A 22,570-nucleotide genomic window follows, 5' to 3' on the forward strand; every position below is an offset into this window, starting at 1 on the left:
AAGGTTGCAAGGAGGCACTTAGGGTAGAAGCCAGGTGGGAGGAGGCAGAGGCTGGAGAGATTTCTCTAGCACCCAGTGCTCTGCATCAGGGTTTGCTCCTCAGAGCCACTCCCCAGAGTGAGCAGACAGCCTGTAGCCCAGGAGCTCCAGCTTAACGGTCAACCGCCCTGAGCTGAGAGTCCCACCCCAAACAGGCTGGCAGGATCCTGAGACCTGGAGCAGGAAAACTCCATTTCAGATAGGCTTATGTGTGGGTAAACTCCAGCCAAGCTGGAAGCTTCCTTTGTGAGTGCCTGGAAATAGACCAGTGGTCCTCAGCGTCATGCCTCCCAGGGCCACTGGCCATGTCTGGAGTCATCCTTGATTGTCACACCTGGGGCAGGAATGCTGCTGGCATCTAGTGGGTGGAGGCCAGGGATGCTACTGAATCTCCTTCACAGAACAGCCCCCAGAACAAGGAAGGCTCCAGCCCAAAATGTCAACAGTGCCAAGGCCAAGAAACTGAGCAGTTTCGACAGGGGTTTATTTAAATTCTTATTTATTTTTAAAAATGAAAATGTAAATGTGATTTGCTATTAGCTCTGCTCTTAAACAGCACGGGACTCACCTGTCAGATTTCCTGGAGTGAGGGGGATGATGGTGCAGTGCCAGTCGTAGAATGGGGTGGGCCTGTTTCTGATCTAGAGAGGTCTACGGGGTTCCCCTGCACACCAGGCAACCACAGGGCCTGCAGAACTGCTTGTGTGTGTGTGTACCAGGGAGCACATAGGTGGCACTCCCTACGTGGTGCCCTCAGACCGTGATGTTGCAAAGCAATCCCTACCTGGGCATTTGTCTCCAAAAGCAGCAGCTCTAAGCAGCCCGTGGCTACCTCTGACCCTCCCAGGCTCATATAATAAACTATAGCATTTTATGGCTGGTCTGTGCCCTCCACACTCAATCAGCATCTATTTCGAATTGTTACTGACTTATATGATGTTACCATTTGATTTCATTTGCTTGAGTGTTATCTTGCCAACTAGACTGACTTCTTGTTGTTGTTGGGCCCGTGATAATTCTTGGTGTGTCTCCCCATTGTCTAGCATGGGGTTTGGGCGGCACAAATCTAGCCAGGTGTTCTGTAAATATGTGTGGAGTTGAACTACCAACTTTGTAAATGCCTTGCTGCGTAATTTCTGCTCCCAGCTTGAAAACCTTAAGACAGGGCGGGTAGGAAAAGAGAGAAGATAGGAAAAGGGGTGTTCCTCGGAGGGAGATTAGCAATGTAGTGACCTTTAGGGATTACTCAGCAGAAGGGAGAAAACCTCCCAAGAGCTCCAGATAACTGGGATGGGGAAAATTCGGTTACCTCAGCCCCACTGGGTTGGGACCTGGAGAGGAAGGTGGACATCAGGAGGTCACAGCGTGCAGGAGAGGGAGGAAGGCAGCAGCAGTCCCTGGATCTGGGGACAGTGGCTTCGGGAAGCCCTTTCTGCTCGGGGACTTCTGCTGGGGCTGGGGCTGCTGGACTTCATCCAGTTCCGGAAGCTGACCATTGCCTCTCCAGGCAGCCCTGAGATGGGGCTAACTTTGGGGAATCTCTTTTCCTTTTTTGGGAAATTTCTTTCTCGATACACCCACGTACCCTGTAACTGGTGGGTGTGGAGGAGAGGCAAATTTCCCGAAAAAGGAAAAGAAATTTCTCAAATGCAGGCTGAGGTGAGGTGGGGTCCGGGCAGCCTCACAGACAAGTAAAAGCCTGAGAGATTTGGCTGGGCCCCTGGTTTTTCAGGAGTGGACAAAGCAACAATCTAGAAACCCAGATTGCTGCCTCTGTCCTCTGCCTTTGTTTCTCCACCTGTAAAGTGCTGCCCATGATTTTACCTAATTCTGTCACCAAGTTTTTGGGGACTGATGTCGAGCTGAGGTGTGGATGTCACCAGACATCACTAGAAGGCTCTTGGGAGGAGCTCCAGGTCTAGAAGGAGAGTGGGAGCGCCAGGAGTTTAGGGTGGAGCAGGCCAGGCCATGAGGCTTTGGGATTCTCAAGGGCCTGCTCTCCAAGGCAAAAAGCTGATCAAATGCTTTTTCCAATTTTTTTTTTTTTTTTTTTTTTTTTTTGAGACGGAGTTTCGCTCTTGTTGCCCAGGCTGGAGTGCAATGGCGCAGTCTCGGCTCACAGCAACCTCCGACTCCCAGGTTCAAACCATTATCCTGCCTCAGCCTCCGGAGTAGCTGGGATTACAGGCATGGGCCACCATGCCCAGCTAATTTTGTATTTTTAGTAGAGATGGGGTTTCTTCATGCTGGACAGGCTGGTCTTGAACTCCAGACCTCAGGTGATCCGCCCGCCTCGGCCTCCCAAAGTGCTGGGATTACAGGCATGAGCCACCGTGCCCGGTCTGTTCGAATGTTTTTAACTGTGGTAAGTACACTGGAAATTCACCATCTTAATCGTTTTTAAGTGTGCAGTTCAGTGGCATTAAGTACATTCACATTGTTGCACAACCACCACCACCGGTCTCTCTCCAGGACCCTTTTCAACTTGCTAACTGAACTGTGCACCCATTGAACTATAACTCCCTTCCCCAGCCCCTGGAAACCCCCATGCTATTCTCTGTCTCTATGAATTTGACTCCTCCAGCACCTCACATAAATGGGATCATGCAGTGTTTGTCCTTTGTGACTGGTGTATTTCACTCAGCATAAGGTCCTGAAAGATCATCCTGGTTGGTGTCAGAATTTCCTCCCTCCTGATTGTGGTAGGTCTGATGATCTTGGACCATGTCTGCTGACCCCAAGCCTCTCACACATGGAAGCCATGGAGAGACTGAGGCCACCTTCTGTGGCAGGCATGGTGCTGAGGGCCGGCCTCCATGGTGTGGAGCTCTGCTCCATCCTAGCCTGGAGAGTCCTTGAGCATCACGAGAGATGAGAGCTGCCTGACTGTGTAGGGGCTGTGCTAAGGACTCATAATCTCAGCTCACATCCTCGGACATAGTAGAGAAAACACTTCTAGCTCTTGGATATGTGCCTTTTTCAGGGGCAACCTGGGAGTTTGTCAGTCCCGTAAGATGTGAAGTTCCAGCCTGAGAAATTAATTTGGGGTGCCTGTGTACTTGTGTATAAAGTAAACAGGCTTGGTCCAAAGGATCTTCAGAGCACTCCAGGTGCAGACAGGTTAGGATTCTGGTTTATTTTGAGTTTGCTTCCTATAGGAGAGTGTCCAGGAGGTTGCCTTGTTCTTGGGACCTCTGCTCACCTCACTCTTGACAAATTTCTGCAATTTTTGGTGGTATTAAAGCCATGAGCAGCCCAACGTTGCCTAGGCCTGTGAGAGCCTAGGAGGAGGGGCATTACCGCTGAGCCCTGCTGTCTTTAGGATCTATCATTTGAGGTTTCTCTCCCTTTTCTGCAGCTGACCGCCCAGTTCCCATTGCTCCCTAAGCCATTTTTTTGCAGATGTTGCCCTGCATCAGAATCTGCAGGGCGAGGCTGGGAAACCAGTTTAAATAACCACTTTGTGTGTTTTTTTGTTGTTGTTTTTGTTTTTGTTTGTTTGTTTGTTTTTGAGATGGAGTCTCACTCTGTCGCCAGGCTGGAGTGCAGTGGCGTGATCTTGGCTCACTGCAACCTCCGTCTCCCGGGTTCAAGTGATTCTCCTGCTTCAGCCTCCCGAGTAGCTGGAACTACAGGCCCGCGCCACCATGCCCGGCTAATTTTTTGCATTTTTAGTAGAAACGGTTTCATCGTGTTAGCCAGGATGGTCTCGATCTCCTGACCTCGTGATCCGCCCGCCTCGGCCTCCCAGAGTCCATGTGATTTCTAACCACTCCATTTGAGAACTGCTGCTTCAAGCTCTGACTTTGTTTCCTCTAGCTCGGAGCTTTCCCAGGCAGGCGAGAGGAACCATCTGCTCCTCCTTGGTGCTGAGGCACCTCCCGGGCATCTGATTCTTTGGGAACCATAGTGGCTGCTGTGTCCGTAACAGAGCGGTTGAGAGGACACTAGGCCATGGAAGGCCTCTTCTGTGGTGAAGCTCATACCTTTCAGGACCCACATGAACATATGCAGACTAAATCCCTAGCAGAACCATGATGTGTAGGCTCTTAAAGGCGGTGGGTGGTTGGGGAGGCAGAGAAGTCTTCTGGGAGGAGACAGGTGGCACTTGGCTGCCTTTTCGCTCATCACAGAGATTCGGGAGGAGCCATGTGCCCGGCCGGGGCTCCTTGCTGGCACTTTCTGCCCATTCTCTATCCTACTTCTCACAATGGTAGATACCATGTCCATTTCACAGTTGAAAAGACTGAGGCCCAGAGAGATTGCGAGGTGGCTCAACTAATGAGTGACAGACCTTGATGTGTAGGCAAGGCAGACTCCTGCTGAGAGAGGGATGGTGTCTTTCCTTCACCAAGTGATCTTGTCCTTCACATTCAGAGAGGCCGCTCCACCAGCACCTGCTGCCTCGTGCGGGTGGAAAATAGGGCTTGCTGGAGGCCAGGCAGGGCTCTCAGTGTCCTTCCTGACCCTCTGGTTTGTCTGTTGCTGCAGACTGACCCAACTATAGTAGCTGACCTGTGTCTTTATTAATGCCATTGAACCAAGCTAGCTGCAGGCCTGCAACGCTGTAGGGTCCACCTGCCTTCTTTGCTACATGGGCATATGAATATATATTCAGAGAGATTTACAGAAATCAGAACAATAAGAACATAGAGCCTGTAACTGTCTGAGAGGCAGAGAAGCTTCCTTAGGCCTGGAGGCCCTTCATGTTTAAAGGACAGGAAGGGGCAAGACAGGGAACCGGGGAAGATGTTTTATGGGTCAGTCTTATACTTTCAGGTTTAGCTTTAAATCTGTCATGTTTCAGCCTTGCCCTGGCCTTTGTGCTGAGGTCCTGGTCGCAAGGGAAAGGAGGCAGGTCCTGTTGTGTGGTGCGTGGAGCCCAAGTACCTTAGGGAGGGCTTGTTGGAGTGGGGTCAGTAACTGTGGGGTCACCCAGGCCCTCTCTCCCTGTGTAGGCACCTCCCGGGCTATTCGGACCACAGGAAGCCCTGTGTTCTTTCCTCCTCTGCTCAGCTGCTCATTTCTATTTCTGTGCTGTGTGTTTTCAGAATCAGATCATTTAAAAAAACAACTTTGGACTCGGGTGTGTTTTCATCTTTACATGAGCCCCACGAGCAAGGTATGAGGGGCTGTTAATGGGGGAGGTAGCCCCCGCAGGCCCTCCCCATGCATCGCATTCCCGCGGGGTCCCTAGGTGCTTTCAGACTTTTGGTTGAGAGACTTCGGTCTTTAAGTGGAATTCTGCACGGAGTCTTAATACAAGTTTTAAAATGTATACAGTCAGGTGCTGCTTTATTTGAAGTTTTGGAATATTTCTGACCCCTCCCTCATCAACAACCCCTGCCCCTGGCAGCTGCAGAAAAGAATACACACTGACGGCTGGGTGTGGTGGCTCACGCCTGTAATCCCAGCACTTTGGGAGGCCGAGGCGAGCAGATCACGAGGTCAGGAGATCGAGACCATCTAGCTAACACGGTGAAACCCCATCTCTACTAAAAATACAAAAAAATTAGCCAGGCATGGTGGCGGGTGCCTGTACTCCCAGCTACTCTGGAGGCTGAGGCAGGAGAATGGCATGATCCCGGGAGGCAGAGCTTGCAGTGAGCTGAGATCACGCCACTGCACTCCAGCCTGGGCAGCAGAGTGAGACTCTGTCTCAAAACAAAAAGGAATACACACTGACCAGACCGGACCAACCTCCTTCTCTGCGGAATTATCCAGGTGCCCAGAGGCCCAGATCACAGACCTGTTCAGGAAAGGCACCTCTTCTTGTGCAATCATTTGATAATTTTTCCAAATGAATAAATTTATTTTTTAAAGATTTCCCAAAGTAGTCAATGTCTTCAAGCTCTTTGCCAGTGGTGACTGGTGAATGAGCAGTGCCCATGTTTATAGGTGAACTCTCAGGCACACGGAGGCTTGTGTTCACAAGGAGAAGCGGCTGGGTCCGGAGCACAGTCCATTGGCTTTCAGGGCTGGCATGGCCACGAGATTCCAGAAATTGAAGACAAGCCAAGGGTGTTGAGAAGGTTCTTCCAGGGTGTTGAGGATTTTTTACCCCTGCCCTCCACCCGACTTGACTTTTCAGGACACAGAGCCTTAGATGAGTCCCCATCCCGTCTTGATTTGGTCATGACAATTGAGATGTTGCCTATTTGTAACAATGAATTCCTTAATGAAGGAAGGTAGATTCTTGGCTGGAAGATGAGGTCTGAACCAGTGCGGTGGAGTCTGTGCGATGCTCTTTTCAGCAGCAGGGAGTTGGTGGGATAATAAGTGGGGCAGGGAGGGCCCTGCTCGACTGAGCTTCCTGTAGGCCACTTTGCCTTAGAGCATCTGTGGCCAGATTTAAGTTATTTTGAAACACTAAAGGTGAGTGAGCCAGGTCTGGGTGCAGGTGAACCCAGGTAGGATGGAAACGCTTCCTAAGTGCTGTGAAAGTAGAGGGTAGGGGTCATAAGGGAAGCTCAGAGCTGTTTGCTGACAAGTGACACCCACTTTTTTTCCCTGAAGTGTAATTTACGGTGACTCATGAAAGTTCACCCATTTGAGTGGAGCACGTAGAGGTCGGAGCATTCTCTGTACCTCCGTGGGAGCTTCAAGATGGATGTTCTCTGGAAACTGGAGGCTGAGCTTTAAGCCCCCTCCCTTCCTTTTGTCATAGTTGGGAGGTTGGGGGAGAAGAGCTAATGACAGGTCCGGGAAGGGCTTGGGACCCAGTCTTATAAGTCTCTTGGACCCGGAACTGTTAGGCAGGGGCAGGTTCTGCCTTTGGGAGCTTTCTTGTTGTTTGCACCTCTGCCCAGAGGCCCAAGTGACATTTCCCACACTGAAAGAATCAGGGAATGGAAGCCAGCAAAGGTTAATCATGGGACTGTGTGGACCAAAAACAGCCAACTCCTGAGGGTGACAGTTGGGGGTTCCCACTGTGACCTGATCCAGACCTTCCATTTTGTAGTGAGGAAGCTTAGCTAGGGGGAGGGGGAGGGAGTGACTGAACCACAGATGTGGACAAGCAGCCGGGTCCCTGGATCTCCTGTCCCGACTTAGAGCCTGGGAGTTGCCCTTCAGGGAAGGAAAGAGGGAGAGGGAAGTGTGTGGGGCAGTTTGAATGTTCTGTGCCTCCAGTATTAGATGTTCTGTACCTCCAGTGTTGGAGTCATACGTGGATGGCTGAGCCCTGTAGAGGGAAGAAGTTGGAGCAGAACGTGCCAGAGTGAGCAGGCAAAGAGGATCAGAGGAAGGGACCTCTGCAGGTACTGAGAGGGCTCTGCAGGTCACCCTGGGTCATTCTGGAGAGCCAAGAGAAGACACAGGTTGGCCCTGGCCAGACGCGAGTCCTCCCTGTGTTCCTAACCCGAGGACACCTGTCAGAGCATGCGGAGCACCTTGCCCTTAACTTCCACGAGGATCTCCCTCTACAGGACGGTGAGCGCCTCTAGGCAGCACTGGTGTCTGCCTGCGTAGACAGGGCACATGTTGGTTGGCTGGCGAATCAGGCAGCTGTCCTCCCCAGCTCTTTCTTGCTTGAGTTTCTGATGTAAAGATTTCAGGTAGGCCACTCCCAAAAGTCCCCCTTCTTTGAATCTCAGGCCGCACTGAGAGGATTTGGTGACCTCAGGTGCCCAGTGAGTGCCTTTCTGTCTCATCAGGACTGTCCCGTGCGCTTACCTTCCTGTTACATAAGTGGTGAGTCAAGGACACAAAATGGGAATTAGCTGCCAGCCTGTGTTCAGGGCTATAATGAGATACCCACATTCTCTCTCTGCCTTCCCTGTGTTGCCTGAGTGGAGTGACTGCTGGCCACCCACAATTGATTATCAAGGGGCTGAAGAGGGGTTCCACCTGGTTATCCACTTAGGTGCTCTCTGTTCAGACTTTTGCCATGTGCACAGCTCTTTCAGTGATGGAAGGTGATGGGAGCGGCGAGAGCTGTCGTGAGGGTAAAGGGGTTTCTGTGGCCCACACCCCGCACTGGGGAGGCAGCCAGGAAGATGGGCTGTGATTGGCACCCTTGCTGGTCTATCTTCAGAGCTGTGGGTGGACTTCTCTGCAGCAGCTGTGACGGTACCCTGCAGCGTGAAGGCTCGTGATAACGTACTGGGCGTCTCCCTCCCACACAGAGAGAAATGACTTTAGATATTAAGAAAGTGAAAAGCTTGGAATAGTTGGTTAGGAAACTAATTAAGTAAGAGCGGGGAAAGAAGTGTCAAAAAAAGTCATTTCATGGGAGGTGCAACAGAAAATATTTAGGGTTGAAAAAGCAAAGCCACATGGCTGGTGCTAGTGTCTTCACGTGTTTGTGCAGTGCTCACACACTTGCACAAACAGGGCTGGCAGCATGGAGCCAGACTGCAAAGTCCCCCAGGGGCACATCCCTTCCACTCTCACCTTTTAGGCTTCCCTTGCTCTGCCCCCTGCTGAGATCCCCACCTGCCTGGCCATGTCTTTTGCCTGGGGCATTCCTGGAAAATATATCATGTCCAAAAACAGTCTGATGAGCTGATCCACGTAGGGCACCACTTCTGGCAGGCAATGTAGTATGTTAGTGTCTTAGCCTCTCCTGGCCTCTGCAAGACTGTTTTTCAGAAAAATCTTTTCTTTGGCCGGGAAGGAAATGTTCTTTATGGTGGGGAAAACTCTCTGAACCCGGGGAGCAGTTGCACTGGTGGGATCTCAGAGATGCAGGTCAGCAGCACAGGGACCTTAGGAAGGAGGTGTCCTTCACCTTATGCCATGTACTGGCCTGAGGGCTGGTCCAGCCCACACACAGGCACGGACCAGTCACTTGCAAACACCTGCCCTCAGTGTGTCAGAATCGAACTCCAGGGTGGCTTCCTTTGTGGGAGGTGCCAGTCACAGCACACAACATGGCAGGTGTGTTTGTTTCCTGTGGCCACTGTAACAAGTTGCCACAAACTTAGTGGCTTAAAACAACACATCTTTGTTCTCTGATGGCTCTGGAGGTTGAGAGTCCAAAATGAGTACCACTTAGCTAAGGTCCAGATGTGAGCAGGGCAGCTTCCTTCTGAGGTCCCGGGGGAGAATCCCCTCTCCACTGTTTGCAGGCTCCAGTGGCCACCTGCCTTCCTTGGCTCGTGGCCTCTTCCTGTCACCACTACAGTCTCTTGCTCCTGTCATCACATTTCCTTATCCTCTTTGTCACATTTTCCTCTGCCTCCCTCTTAGATCAGAATCTGGATGACTTTTTCTTTCATTTTTTATTTTTTAGAGATTGGGTTTTTTTTTGTCACCTATCCTGGAGTGCAGTGGCGCAGTCATAGCTCACTGCAGCCTTGAGCTCCTGGGCCCAAGTGATCTTCCTACCTGAGCCTTTCGAGTATCTGGGATTACAGATGCTCCGGTGTTGAGCTCTGGGGAGTTCAGCAGGGCTAAGTAGGACTTGTGGGGGTGCTGCTAGGTGTGAGGTGTAGGCGTGAGAAACGGGGAAAGGAAGATGGGGCCACCAGAGACTGCCCTGATGGATGACATAGTCACCACCTAGGTATCAGCATCACCCCACTTCCAGAGCATTTGTGTTTTCAGTGTGAAGCAGGATCAGGGAATGTCATTGCTGGAAAGGACCTGGAAGAGCCAGCCCCGTCCTCAGTTGGGGGCGATGGAGAAGTGGCTTTTGCTCCGGTTGGGGCAGTGTGGAGCCTGGCACTGCAGAGCTTTGAAGGTTTCCCTGACTCAAGTCAGCGTGGAAGCTGAGCCCCTCAATGTGTAGAGCGCAGCAGACACGACGCCTGGCCTCCTGTTCACTGATTCAACCCCAGGGGGAGGTGGGGAGACGGAAAAGACTCCTTGTCCTTGAGCAGGGTCGTCTTGTTGGTGAGACTGGTTTTGTGTTTCTCACGTGTGAGGTGCAGACAGGCATGGTGTTGCAGACCAAGACCTTGGGGCACGAAGGTGAAGGAACAGGGACAGAGCAGGTGGAGGAGGAGAGAGACTCCCTGGAGCCACAAGGCTCTGAAGGACTGTGCAGTCCCAGCTGTGACCTACCTCCAACCAGCCGCACTAAGGCAGGCTTGTCCCGCAGGGGCAGAAGGGTCTTACGGCCCCAACCCGTCCCCTGTCCTCATGTAGCTAATGCTTGCTTTTGGGCTTCTGTCTGTTCCTCTGCCTCGATGGAAGGGTGGTAGATGGGCTGCTCCACAAAGTCTAATAAGCAGTGAGTCATTGTCTTCCTCTGAGCCCACCAGGGTTGCACCTGGTGGCTGGGGAATGCTTTGTGATGCCCAGGGCCCAGCTGAGAAGCAGTGGTGTTGGGGTTCATCAGTGGTGTTGGCCGTCTGTCTGCAGGGTGCAGTGGCTGTCTTGGGGCAAAAGTCCAAGGCTCACTTCCTCTGGACACTGAGTACAGTTTTTGGAACCAGCAAGCGTCTGTGATCAGTGTAGAGGTAAAAAGAAATCACACACAAACCACAGTGCTAGCGTCCTCACTGTGTTTGCATTTAATCCTGAAAATGGTCGCATGAGGAGAGCAGTAACTTGCCCAAAATCAGGGTTTTTCTGGGCGATCTGGGGGTTTTGCGTTGAGCCACAGGTTGGAGACCTGGTGGGTGGAGCTACTCTGGCTCCATTCCCATTCTGTGAGCTGGGGCCCAGACACGCCCTAGCCTGAAGGTTTTGGAGCCTTACCTGGTTAATGTTTGAAGATCTCGGCTATGCCAGGATAAACTGGAGCAGGTATTTACACCTCTGCCAAGTGATGGGCCCTAACGCTGTCAGGTGGCCAATACCTGTGGAGCGTGCCGGCCACAGGGGAACACAGGGCCAGGAGTCCTCTTGGCTTCATCCCCCAAGACAGCTGAGGTTTGAAGATCTCGGGGGCGGTTGGGGAGGGGGTGGGGTTTGACTTGCACCTGGATATGGAGGACATGCTTGCCTGGCCCTGACTTCCAGTGGGTTTTCAGCAAGAGACCCACCGAGGACGACCATATATTCTGGTCCCAGCAGCGGACCCAGAGGCCGTTCTAGCTGTATCTGAAGGGGCCATGAGAACGGTAGGTGTGGGGTGGTCTGGGAAGGAGGGTCTTTGGGGACATCATCTAGTCCAGCCCTCACCTTTGACAGATGAGGAAACTGAGACCCAGGGGGCAGGCAGGGTCCCCACTATCACTCCCAGTAGGCTTCAGAGACAGATGCCGCTTGCTCCGTGCAGCATCCCTCCCTGCCCGGATTGGTGTGAACAGGGCAGTTGTCAGCGAGCAGTGAGCGACCAAGAGAGACACTCCTCAAGGCTCAGCCCAGCAGATGCTCTCGTGCGTATTAGGTGCTGGGTGACTGGGGGCTGAATGGAATGTGTTGTCCAGGGTCATGCGGCTGGTTGTCCCAGAACCATGGCTGGACAGCCGACCCTTTTCCAGTGCCCTTTTCACTACATCACATCCCTTGCGGTCCTCCCGGCCCTGCTTAAAGAGGCAGGGTTGGTGCGGCTCTCCCTCAGGAAAAACCGAGGGTGCAAAGAATGGGGAGGGTGAGAGGCTGTGATGAGAGACATGGACTTGCAGTGGGAGAGGTGGGATGTGTGTTGCAAGAACGCCTTGGGTTTCTTGTTTCTTGGGGCCTCCATTCCGAGATGGAGAAGAGAATACTATTTGTGCTCCACGAGAAAAGATTAGGAAAACAGCCCCACTCCAGTGGACCTGGCAGCATTCTATATAAACATCGACATCTGGGAGAGAGGTCCAGTTGAATATTGTTGCAAATGGACTTGTGCTCTTTTTGGGTGATGCTATGGCGACCCACACTAGAGGAGGGTGCTGGAGCCCAGCGTCAGGCCAGGGCCCTCTGTGGGAACAACCCCTTAACTCCCTGGGCCCTGCCTGGCTTGCTTTGTTTGACTGCCTGTACCATCTTGTCGCTTCTTCCACCATATTCCCCATGGCATCCTCTCCCCACTCCAAAGATGGGTGGTGTAAGCCCTACAAAGTGGGGCAGATGGCTAGAGCCACAGGTGTCAGCCTCATTCACATCATCCATGTGGCCAGACTTCAGCTTCCTCTTTCTCATGGTCTGAGGCGTGTTATAGTCGTGTTAAATGTCCAGCGCTAGAATTTTAGGGAAGGGGAGTGGCTGTGAATATATGTCAGGTGCACACTGTTTGGTCATCTGCTTGACTTGTGCTAGGCACTGTGATGTGCAGAATATGTCATTGTGACAGCTGCGTCCTCGAGGGTCAGGTTAGGTAGGTGGACACTTCTAATCTTTAGCCCCTCCCTTCTTAGTAGAGTGGGAGTGGGGGACGGAGAGGCCAGAGCCCAGTTGGTGGGAATTCCCGAAGGCTTCCCTCATCCTTTTCTTTCTCCTTGCTTGCTTCTATTCACGTTTTCTGTCTCCTGCAGCCCATGGGATCAGACCCTGCGCTGAGCTCCTTCACTGTGTGTCTGTTGCTGAAGTAAATGCAAGCCCTGTCCTTTCCAGAGCAGGAAAGGGGAGTAAAGTTTTCCTCCTGGGGTCATTTCACCCTTGTTCTCTATCTCTCTCTCTCTCTGTCTCCTACAGAGACTCTGCAGGGAAACACAGGTGTAGGTAATGTCAAAGGACATCCAACTTGTGTTCTAGGACCACAGCCTCGCCCTTCTGTCGTGGCCCCCACTGGGTGAGGAGAGCGCCCCGGCCACACCAGGGGTCAGTTGTCGATGGAAAGGAATAGACGTGCAAGTGTGCATTTACTGTTTGTTCTGTCACTTACCAGCCATTTGAGAAGTCCTGGGTGCTGTGAGGTGGACTGTGCAGTAATTTGAAGGGTGGGGAGGGGTAAGAGGGCTGTTGCATAGAAGTCTAGCCTTAGAGTAACACATTTGAATTTTGGATAAACGGGTGGCAACGGCCATGCTGGTTTCCTTCATATATTGTTAGCCTTTTCCTGGCTGGGAAAAAAGCATTTGCCTAATTTTAGAACACATCAGTCATTTGGTTGAAACATCCTATTTCCCCCAAAGTCAAGTGTTTGAATTGTAACAACTTTGGAGGCTTGGAAAGGATCTTCGCATAGTCCCTGCATGAACTCTCCTGCATTGGATGCCCTGTCTGAGGAGTTTGACCTAGGAGTTAGGGAAACAATCTTTATTTCCAATGAAGAATTTTATGTATAAACACACCTAAAGAGAAGTGTAAAATGCTTGACCTGAGGACCTTGGGAGCAGTCTCTCAGACCCTTAAAACTTATTCTGTATTCTCATTGGTGTGATAGTGGGGCAGTAGTTTGTTGTTGTTATTTTTTCCGGGGCAGGGGGATTACATAAGATTTACCCATTTCTCTCCCTATCATGCAATAGTTACCCTTGGATCTTACTGTGCTCCCTGATATATGTGAAGGTTGAAAATGGGCCAGATGGGAATTTTAAAGGCAATGAGGGGCTTTAATTGTTTTTTCAAAATAGTGTATGTACAGTAGTTCAAAAAGTCAGATATGTAACCACAAAGCTTATACTAAAAGAGTTTTCTGCTCCATTTCTTCTTACTCCTGAGTCCTGTTCCCAGAGGAAGCCATTTCAGCTCTTCTAGCCAGAATACTCCGGTGCCTACCTCTGTGTTTGTAAATAACTGGTTTTTACTGCTACTTCTTGAGTTTTAGAAGATATTATCTATTGGTTTTATACACCACAGATAGGATTTAGCTCTTTCATCGGCCTGGCTCCTTGCTCCTACCCAGCTACCCTTGTTTTTCCTGGTAATGTTACTCACAGAGCTGGCCGTCCTCACGTTCCAGACTGACTCTGGCTGTCCTCTGGACCTGCTGCATAGCTCTCCATCTGGGCTTGACCTTCCCCATCATCCTGGGAAGCCTCTCTCTCTTTCTCTCTCTCTCTTCCACCTTCTCCCCCACCTGTTTTTTTGTTTGTTCGTTTTTGTTTTTGTGGGGTTTTTTTTGGTTTGTTTTTTGGTTTTTGGTTTACTTCACTTGGTGAAACCTCTTGAGAAATGCACAGGGAGGAAAGGTTTTGTGGCCTTGCCTGTCTCAGGATGCCTGTCCTGTGCACACTCTTGACCAGGAGCTGGACTGGCTGTAGAATGTTAGATGGGACCTAATTTTCCTTGGAATTTTGAAGGTGGTGTTCATTTTTTAACTTTATCATTGGTATTGAGAAGTTCATATGCAAGGGTCTGATTCCTGATCCTTTGCAAATAAACTGAATTTTCCTTCCGAAAACTTTCAGGAGCTTCTCTTTATCCCTTGAGTTCTAAAATTTCATGAAGATATGCCTTGGTGTGGATTTGTTTTGTTTTATTAAGCTAGAGGCTTGTGTATATTTCAGTGTGGGAAGTTCTGACCTTCTAGTCCAGAGTGTGTCTTATATTTTCTTCCTCTGGTAATTTCTTTCTTTTTTAACTCATCCCTCTCCTCTCTTCACTGTCTTTTTTTTTTTTTTTAATGGAGTCTCGCTCTGTCACCCAGGTACAGTAGCACAATGTTGGCTCACTGCAACCTCCGCCTCCCAGGTTCAAATGATTCTCCTGCTTCAGCCTCCCAGGTAGCTGGGACTACAGGTATGTGCCACCATGCCTGGCTAATTTTGGTATTTTTGGTAGAGATGGGGGTATCGCCATGTTTCCCAGGCCAGCCTCAAGCTCCTGGACTCAAGCAATCTGCCCACCTTGGCCTCCCAAAGTGCTGTGATTACAGGAGTGAGCCACTGTGCCCATCCTGGTAATTTTTTTTTAAAATTTTTCCTGGTCTTTACTTCTGAAACTCCTGTTATTTGGCTATTACTCCTTCTGACTCGATTCTCTAAGTTTATTGTCTTTTTCTGTGGCTTCGTTTTGCCTGAGATCACATTAACCTTGCCTTCTAACCCTTCTGTTGGGGTCTGATTCCACCTATTGAATTGTTAATTTCTTAGAGCTTGTTTTTTGTTTTCCGTGTGTCCTCTTTTGTAGCATCCTGTTTGTGTTTCATGGGTGCAGTACTTTCTCTAATCATTTCAGTTATTTTGAAGTTGTATTCTGTCTCTGGTCTGACTTTCATTCTCCTAGTTCCCTTTCTGTTTGTTATGGTCTTGGGCTTTCTCGAATGAGTGGCGACCCTTCAGAAGGAGGCTGTGTGTGTATATGGGGTGCGTGTAGGAATATCGACTGGCAGGCTTTGCCTTAGAAGGACAGGCAGGCAGGGCACCAGTTTGTTTTGGGAGAGACCCTAGAATGTCCGCACGTACGAGCCCTCTCGTCTCCATTACATGGAGAATGACAGTTTTAGGAGGTCTTTCTCTTGGGCTTGTTGGTTTCCCCTGATAGGAATTCTCTCATCTCCAATCTAGGAAGACCTGTGGGCAGCAGAAGGGCTTGGGATGAGGGACTCAACTTTTAGGATGCAGACTTTCTTGGACTTTTCCTGCTGTTAGTCCTTCACCCCTACTTCCCCTGCCCCCTCAGCTGTGCCTGCTGCCCCTGACTCTAGGGGCCCTCCTAGGGCAACCCTCCGTGCTGGTCAGTATATAGGATTCTCTGGCCAGAGCCAAGCCCTGGGATCTGCCTGCCCTTGTACGGGTGCTGATCAGTTCTCCTGCTCTCAGCCCTGCCCCTGCTGTTGGAGTCCCCTCTGCCCCCAGGCCCTGAGCTTTCTGGTGTCTGCAGCAGTGCCAGCCTGCCTCCTCCTAGCTGTCCTCAGGAAGCTTCTTCCATGCCACCAGGCCACTTTCCATGTATCCAGCCACTTCCCACTCAAAGTTTACTTGATATCTTATATCTGCTCTTGTCTCCTCTCCAGCTTTTCATCCTTGAGAGTTTATACCTCCCCCCCACACACACTTTATGGTCATATTAATTAGGGTTTTAGCAGGCAATTGAACATTCTGGTGTGTTAAGTCACCTGTGTTTAACTGGAGGCCCCTCTGTGTGTCAGGAACTGGCCCGCAGCCTGTCGACACGTGTTGGTGTCCATCATGGGCATATCGTGCCTGCCTTGTACCCACCTGTTTCCATGCCACTGTTCCCTGTCCTTTCCCACACTGTCCCCTGTGTGGGTCATATTGTTGGTCTGGGCCTGTGTAGCTCTTTGTGCTTGGCAGGGTGTGTGTGTGTGCAGGGTGTGTGTGTGTGTGTGTGTGTGTGTGTGTGTGTGTGTGTGTGTGTGTGTGTGTCTCAGAGTCAATGCACATGCCTGCCAGGGGACCTGTGTGTGTTGGCATCCTGCATTAAATGTACCATCTATAATTTGCTCCAGTACCTTGGAGAAAATTTTATGAGGAAAAGATACTTTCATAAATAGTTGAAATTCCAGATTCTTCTGGTTGGAAACCCAAGGGTTAATGATGACTGTTGTTCCAGAAAGGTTGGAGGGAGAGGAGACAGTTTATCTCATTTCCCTCTGGTGAATAAGGCCATTTACTGATGGGGCCCAATCACCTACCTGGGACTAACAATAAGACCCTTGTTGTTGACTGGGCAGGTTCCACAGCTGATACTCCGGCTGCCTTGAGCAATACCATCAGGCAGATCTGGGGCTCAGCCCTGTCCTTACCCAGGGCCTCAGAGCACTAATATATTTTCCTTTTCCTCACTCCAGATGTCTTCCCAGTGACTCTCCTTGGGGCCTGGGGAAACCACAAGGGAGCTTGGATTCATTCACCCATTGCTGCCTTGCTGTGTGCCTCAGAGGGGCTCAGAGGTGGAAAATAAATATGAAAAAGCATCCTTGTCTTCTAGAATCTCGTCGGCTGCTGGGAAGACCAAGGGGCCAGCCATCGCAGGGAGCATAAGCACTGAGACAGGCACACGTGCCTGCCCGGCTATCGTAGCCAGGCTGGCAGCCTTGCAACTCCCTGGGGAAGAACAATCTAGGAACATTCTGGGGTGTGGAGCAGGAAGGGAGTGTCACATGCAAAAGGCAGGATCAGCCAAAGCAGAGGGGCTGAAGAAGCAGTGATTCCCCCACCTAATGTCAGAAGTAAAATCAGTTCATGGTGAAAATTTGGGGAAACAAAATCATGCAGCAAAATTGCCTATTAAACCCCACACGGAGGTAAAAATCGGTTCATATTGTGGTTATGTATCTATTCTCTTATGATGTGTATTTATGTGCTTATGTAAGACCTAAAAACAATAATTTTTAAATAAACCAGTTATTTTTAATAAGAATATTCTGGCCAGGCATGGTGGTTCATGCCTGTAATCCCAACACTGTGGTAGGCCAAGGTGGGCGGATCGCTTGAAGCCAGGGGTTCCAGGCTGCGGTGAGCTAGGATTGCACTACTGCACTCCAGCCTGAGTGACAGAGGGAGACCCTGTCTCTTAAAAAAACAAAACAAATTCTATCTCACAATTCCTTTCCTATCCTTCTATGCATGGTCTTTAATAGCTACACCCCATTCCATTGGGTGGCTGTATTTGATTCCTTTATTCTGTACTTTCGGACATCCAAGTTGTTTTCAGATTTTTACTTTTTTAATATGATGCTTCAGAGAACATTCCTGGAAGTAATGTTGCCAGTGCAGAGGTGCAAGCATGTTTGAGACAGCTGATAGTTACCTCTGTCCAGAACTGGCTCACTCCCAACAGCAGCAGGAGGCACCCAGGGTCTCTCACTTTCCTTTCAATTTTCCTTTCTCCACATCCTACCCCCAGATTTGTCTGACTTTTCCAGAGGCTATTGAGAGAAGCTTTTTGAGTGAGGCACCACACAGATGTTTAAGACTAAGTTTGTGGTCTTTGAGAACCGAGGTAGCCTGACCCATTGGAAGCCTGCAGATAATTGAAAAAATCTTATTTTAGATCCTGTGTCATTCTTCTGCTATCAAACCAGAGCCAGCAGCAAAGGAAGCTGGGGGTGATGGGCCTTCATCCACCTGCCATGTTGCCTCCCTGCGCTGCTTCTGCCAAGAGTGGGCTGCTGGGGGTGTCCTGCTGGGGCCAGGCACCAGGGTTCCAATGCCAAGTAGTGGCATTCACGCACCTTTTGATAAGCGAGGAAACCGCTGGCAGCAGGAAGAAAGGTAAAGCAGCTCCAGGGAGCTCAGCGCTCAGCCTCAACCTCTTTCCCCAGAACCTGCGCCTGCCCACTCCACCTCCAAGGCCCCTCACTCTCCACCACCCATTTGGCCTTTTGGAATTGGGACTGGAATTGTTTCCAGCTCCAGAAGGCCCCTGCCTGCCTAATTCCCATGTCTCTAAAAATATCTGCAAGCCTCTTCCCACCCAGGCCTGTCCCCACAGAGCCCACTTCTCTCCCCCGACCCTCGGCTAGGGGAGGAAATGAGATCTCCCTCTCTTGACAGGATTAGAACGGAATAAATACGAAAGGCTGAGTTTCCAGAGTTGAAAGGGTAGGGCTGCCTTTGTCGGGTCCGGAGGGCTGGCGTGGCATCGGTGCAGGCCCACACTCGGAGGAGGGAATCCAGGAGAAAGAAGGAAGGGGAAAAGAGCAAGAACCCCTTTCTCCCCTCTGCATATGGGATGGCCAAGAGAAGCCAGGCCCTGCTGTGGGTCCCCGGTGGGAAAGAAGCTGGCTCCCAGGGCTCCCAAGCCCCAGCCACGCCTGGTCAGCACAGGCAAAAGGAGTCTGTGGGAAGCCTCCAACCTCCAGGCTGCCTGAGGCCCCTGGAGCTTTCTCAGGCATTCCTAGATTGGGACAGAGCCTCAGACCCCTCCCTGCCCCACCCCCCAGCATTGGATGCCTGCCTAATAGAGGCTTTATTTATCTCCACATTTTCCCAGCTCTGTATAAAGAGACAAGCACGTGGGTGAGGCCTACAGATATTCCAAAAGCAGGGGGTAGTGGGGTGGGGGATGAAGAATACGCAAGGATCTGCTTCCACCATCCCCTAGAGGGGCTTTGGAGGGAGGAGGGTGGGCTAGGGCAAAGGGTCGATGTGCAAAAGGCTTCTTTTCTTTCATTTTCCCCTACTCAGAAACCCAAAAATAGCCATGTCAAAGGCACATACATTGCAAATAGCAGCCGAGAAGAGCCAGCTGAAAGCCATTTGCTTCTCCCTCCCTCCTCCCTGGACACACTCCCCGTCCTCTGCAGTCCCCTTCTTTCCAGGCTCTTGCTGGGCCAACCAGTCCTGCAGCCTTGTAGGGTCCAGCACCTCCCTATAGGGTTACTGAGTTGCATCTAAATTCACTTAATAGGCGGTCACAGCTTTTTGTGAAAACCCATGAGGAAATGTGAAAAGTCCTCCTTTGGTTCACTTTTCTTGCAACTTTGAATTTTCCTACTAAGAGTCCTTAAAGTGAAGCAAACCTGTAGCTAAAATGTAGACAAGAGCCAGGCACAGTGACTCAGGAGGCCAAAGTGGGAGAGTCAGTTGAGGCCAGGAGTTCAAGACCAGCCTGGGCAACATAGCAAGACCGCTGTCTCTACAAAAATTTTGAAAATTAGCTGGATGTGGTGGTGCATACCTATAGTCCTAGCTACTTGGGAGGCTGAGGCCAGAGGATCGCTTGAGCCTGGGAGTTGGAGGCTGCAGTGAGCCTTGATTGCACCACTGCAGTCTAGCCTGGGAGACAGACAGGGAGACCCCATCTCTTTTTTAAAAAAAATGTAGACAATAAAAAATATATAAAGATTGGATTTGATCTCAAGTCAAGAGGAGTGGTCATATGCAAGAGAGTAGATGCCATGAAAATGGTCTGCTGTCCCAAGTGTTTTTCCCAATTATAAAACTAACATATGTCTTGTACAAATTTTGTAAAAATTATACATTTTGTGAAAATAGGTAAGCACAAAGATCAAAAGATGTTTTCCAGGAAGAATCAGATGGGACATCTCCACCTGATGTCACTCGTGGCAGGCAAGGGGACACTTATCCTTGTGTGGTGGTCTCCTCCTGGGATGGCGCTGGGTGGGGAGGCCCACCTTTTGGAGGTCCTTTGGTGGCTCTGACCAGGCTCCACCCTGCACTATAGCTGTCCTGGACGGCGGGTTGAATAGAAGGGTACAGATTTAGAATTGACTTGGAAACACGTTAATTTGGAAGCCTACCTTCCCCATTCCAAAGAGATTCTGACTTGAGATCCAAGGTTTCCAGAGCGCCTCAATGCCCTTCCTGAATCACCAAGTTCAGTCTGGCTTGGAGAGCATGGCACGGCTGACCCAGTGAGTCCAGGGTACAGAGGCCAGACTCACAGCTCATTTCAAGCTGGGCTTTTTCCCCCTTGTCGAACCAGTCAAAACAAACGAAATTGGATTAGTCTGTCTTCAAGCACTTTGTCAGAAAATACATGAATTGGTGTGTGTGTGTGTGTATTTCAGTTCTGCCATCTGTTGGCTCAGGGGTCCCCAGTGCCCAGGCAGGTCCATGGCTTATTAGGAACTGGGCTGCACAGCAGGAGGTGAGTGGCAGGCGAGCTAGCATTACTGCCTGAGCTCCACCTCTTTCAGCATTAGATTTTCATAGGAGCGTGAAGCCAGTTCTGAACTGCACATGCAAGGGGTCTAGGTTGTGTGCTCCTTATGAGAGTCTAATGCCTGATGATCTGTTACTGTCTCCCATCACCCTCAGATGGCACCATCTAGTTGCAGGAAAACAAGCTCAGGGCTCCCACTGATTGATTCTACATTATGGTGAGTATGTAATAATAATAGAAATAAAGTGCACAGTAAATGTAATGCGCTTAAATAATCCTGAAACCATCCATCCATTCCCTGTGGCCCTGGAAAAACTGCCTTCCACAAAAGTGGTCCTTGGTACCAAAAAGTTTGGGGACCACTGCATTAGCTAACCTTGAACAGTTTTGCAATCTCACTAAACCTAAATTTCCTCATCTGTAGAATGGGGAGAATAAGAACAGTTTTTTAGGATGACTGTGGATTTAAACCAGAACTCAGTGGAGCGCTATATCCTGTCTTCTCTGCCACCCTTCTGCTTCACTCAGGGAATTTATCTTAAGAGTTGGGGAGAAGGCAGGGGAACCTTCTGCCATGTCCTGCTATGCTTGTGTGGCCCTCTGAGCAAGGGAGAGCCTTGCTTCACCCTCAATAAAGTATCTTCCTGGTCTCAGGCCCAGTGACACCTGCCAACTGGTTAAGAAGCAGAGTTTAACATTTCAGTAATGTTATATCCGGATATTAAGAAAGAAAAGGCCGGGCCTGGTGGCCCACACCTGTAATCCCAGCACTTTGGGATGCCAAGGCAGGTGGATCACCTGAGGTCAGGAGTTCGAGACCAGCCTGGCCAACAGGATGAAACCCCATCTCTACTAAAAAATACAAAAATTAGCCAGACATGGTGGCAGGCGCCTGTAATCCCAGCCACTCAGGCTGAGGCTGAGGCAGGAGAATCGCTTGAACTCGGGAGGCAGAGGTTGCAGTGAGCTGAGATTGCACCACTGCACTCCAGCCTGGGCAACAAGAGTGAAACTCCATCTCAAAAAAAATTTTTTTTAAACAACAACAACAAAAAAAATATATATATAGTTACTTCAAAGAAAAACCTTCAGCAACATTAAACAGTAGTGTAGACAGCAGTGAGGACTTCAGTTGTGTATATATTTTCCTGCCTGGGGAATTGTTTCCTGAGGGTAGAGTTCTAGAAATAGAATGGAAAAGGCCCGTAGGGTAGGTACTGCTATGGCTCCTGTGGCAGGTTTGCAGACTGCTCAGGCAGCTGCAGTTCAAGTGCCCTTTCCAGGCCATGGGCTGCCTTCAAGCCATGCCCAGAAAGCCTGCCTGCCTTGGCTCTACATCCTGATGTCCAGGAGGTCAGGCTTGGCCTAAAAGAGGGCTGGCTTACCCTTGGCTCAAATGTCACCCGCAGGGAGCTGGGGGCTGAGGAAGAGGAAACGTCCAGGTGGGTGTAGTCCTCTGGCTTCTAGGCTTTCCTTTCCTATCTTCATTTTTTTTTTTAATTTTTTTTATTTTTTAAAAATAGAGACAGGATCTCCCTATGTTGCCCAGGCTGGTCCCAAACTCCTGGACTCAAGCAATCCTCCTGCCTCGGCCTCCCAAAACGCTGGAATTACAGGCATGAGCCACCGCACCCAGCCTCCCTTCCTGTCTTTATGGGCCACTCCTGTCTGCGTTACCCATAGTCAAGGCCAGGCCTTGGGCCAGGAAGGGGGCTATACCATCAGCTCCCCAAGTGTACAAGGCCCTTGCCTCTCCTTTGGCCTACATGAGCACCTGCCTTGTACTCTATGTTGTGCCAGGCATTGTGGGAGATGCCAAGAAAGCCAATCCCTCTGCTGCCCCTTCAGTGCTGAGACACCTGGGCCTCCAAAGGGCTGGTGCAGTGCGGAGCTGTCAGGCTTTCTTCTCTGCCAGGTCATTGTGATGGGGCAGGTGATCGTCAGGGCACGTGTGGAGTGTGCGAGCAGGTCCACCCATGACTAGTGGAGCAGCCTTGGCTAAGCCACTTTCTCACCTGTGCAGTGGTGACAGCCCCCTCCTCAGGGTCATTAAGGAGGTAGTGAGATGGCCATGTCTCATGTCCCATGCGCTTGGTATACACACCCCCAAGAGAGGCCAGGCCTGGGCTGACACAGGTACCCCTCACTCTGTGGCCCAGGTGGCATCTGCTGGCAGCACACCCACCCTCCCTGTCTTCTGCAGTTCCAGCCCAGCTAGTGGACACCTGTCCAC

At 50.5% G+C, this 22,570-nt stretch overlaps 1 protein-coding gene across 12 annotated transcripts in view, besides 2 other annotated features; it reads left to right on the forward strand.

Moving 5' to 3' along the window:
• Positions 1-22,570, forward strand: part of MPRIP (myosin phosphatase Rho interacting protein) — a 150,187-nt gene that overhangs the window by 37,756 nt on the left and 89,861 nt on the right. The window lies entirely within an intron of this gene.
• Positions 7,557-8,058: an enhancer, noted in NCBI's record as "H3K4me1 hESC enhancer chr17:16991083-16991584 (GRCh37/hg19 assembly coordinates)". NCBI's record gives its function as "activates a minimal SCP1, AML or CMV promoter by ChIP-STARR-seq in naive H9 embryonic stem cells {active_cell/tissue: H9 hESC(naive)}" and the evidence as "EXISTENCE:reporter gene assay evidence [ECO:0000049][PMID:30033119]".
• Positions 15,476-16,062: an enhancer, noted in NCBI's record as "H3K27ac-H3K4me1 hESC enhancer chr17:16999002-16999588 (GRCh37/hg19 assembly coordinates)". NCBI's record gives its function as "activates a minimal SCP1, AML or CMV promoter by ChIP-STARR-seq in primed H9 embryonic stem cells {active_cell/tissue: H9 hESC(primed)}" and the evidence as "EXISTENCE:reporter gene assay evidence [ECO:0000049][PMID:30033119]".

Source organism: Homo sapiens, chromosome 17 (assembly GCF_000001405.40).
Source record: "Homo sapiens chromosome 17, GRCh38.p14 Primary Assembly".
Taxonomy (NCBI): domain Eukaryota; kingdom Metazoa; phylum Chordata; class Mammalia; order Primates; family Hominidae; genus Homo; species Homo sapiens.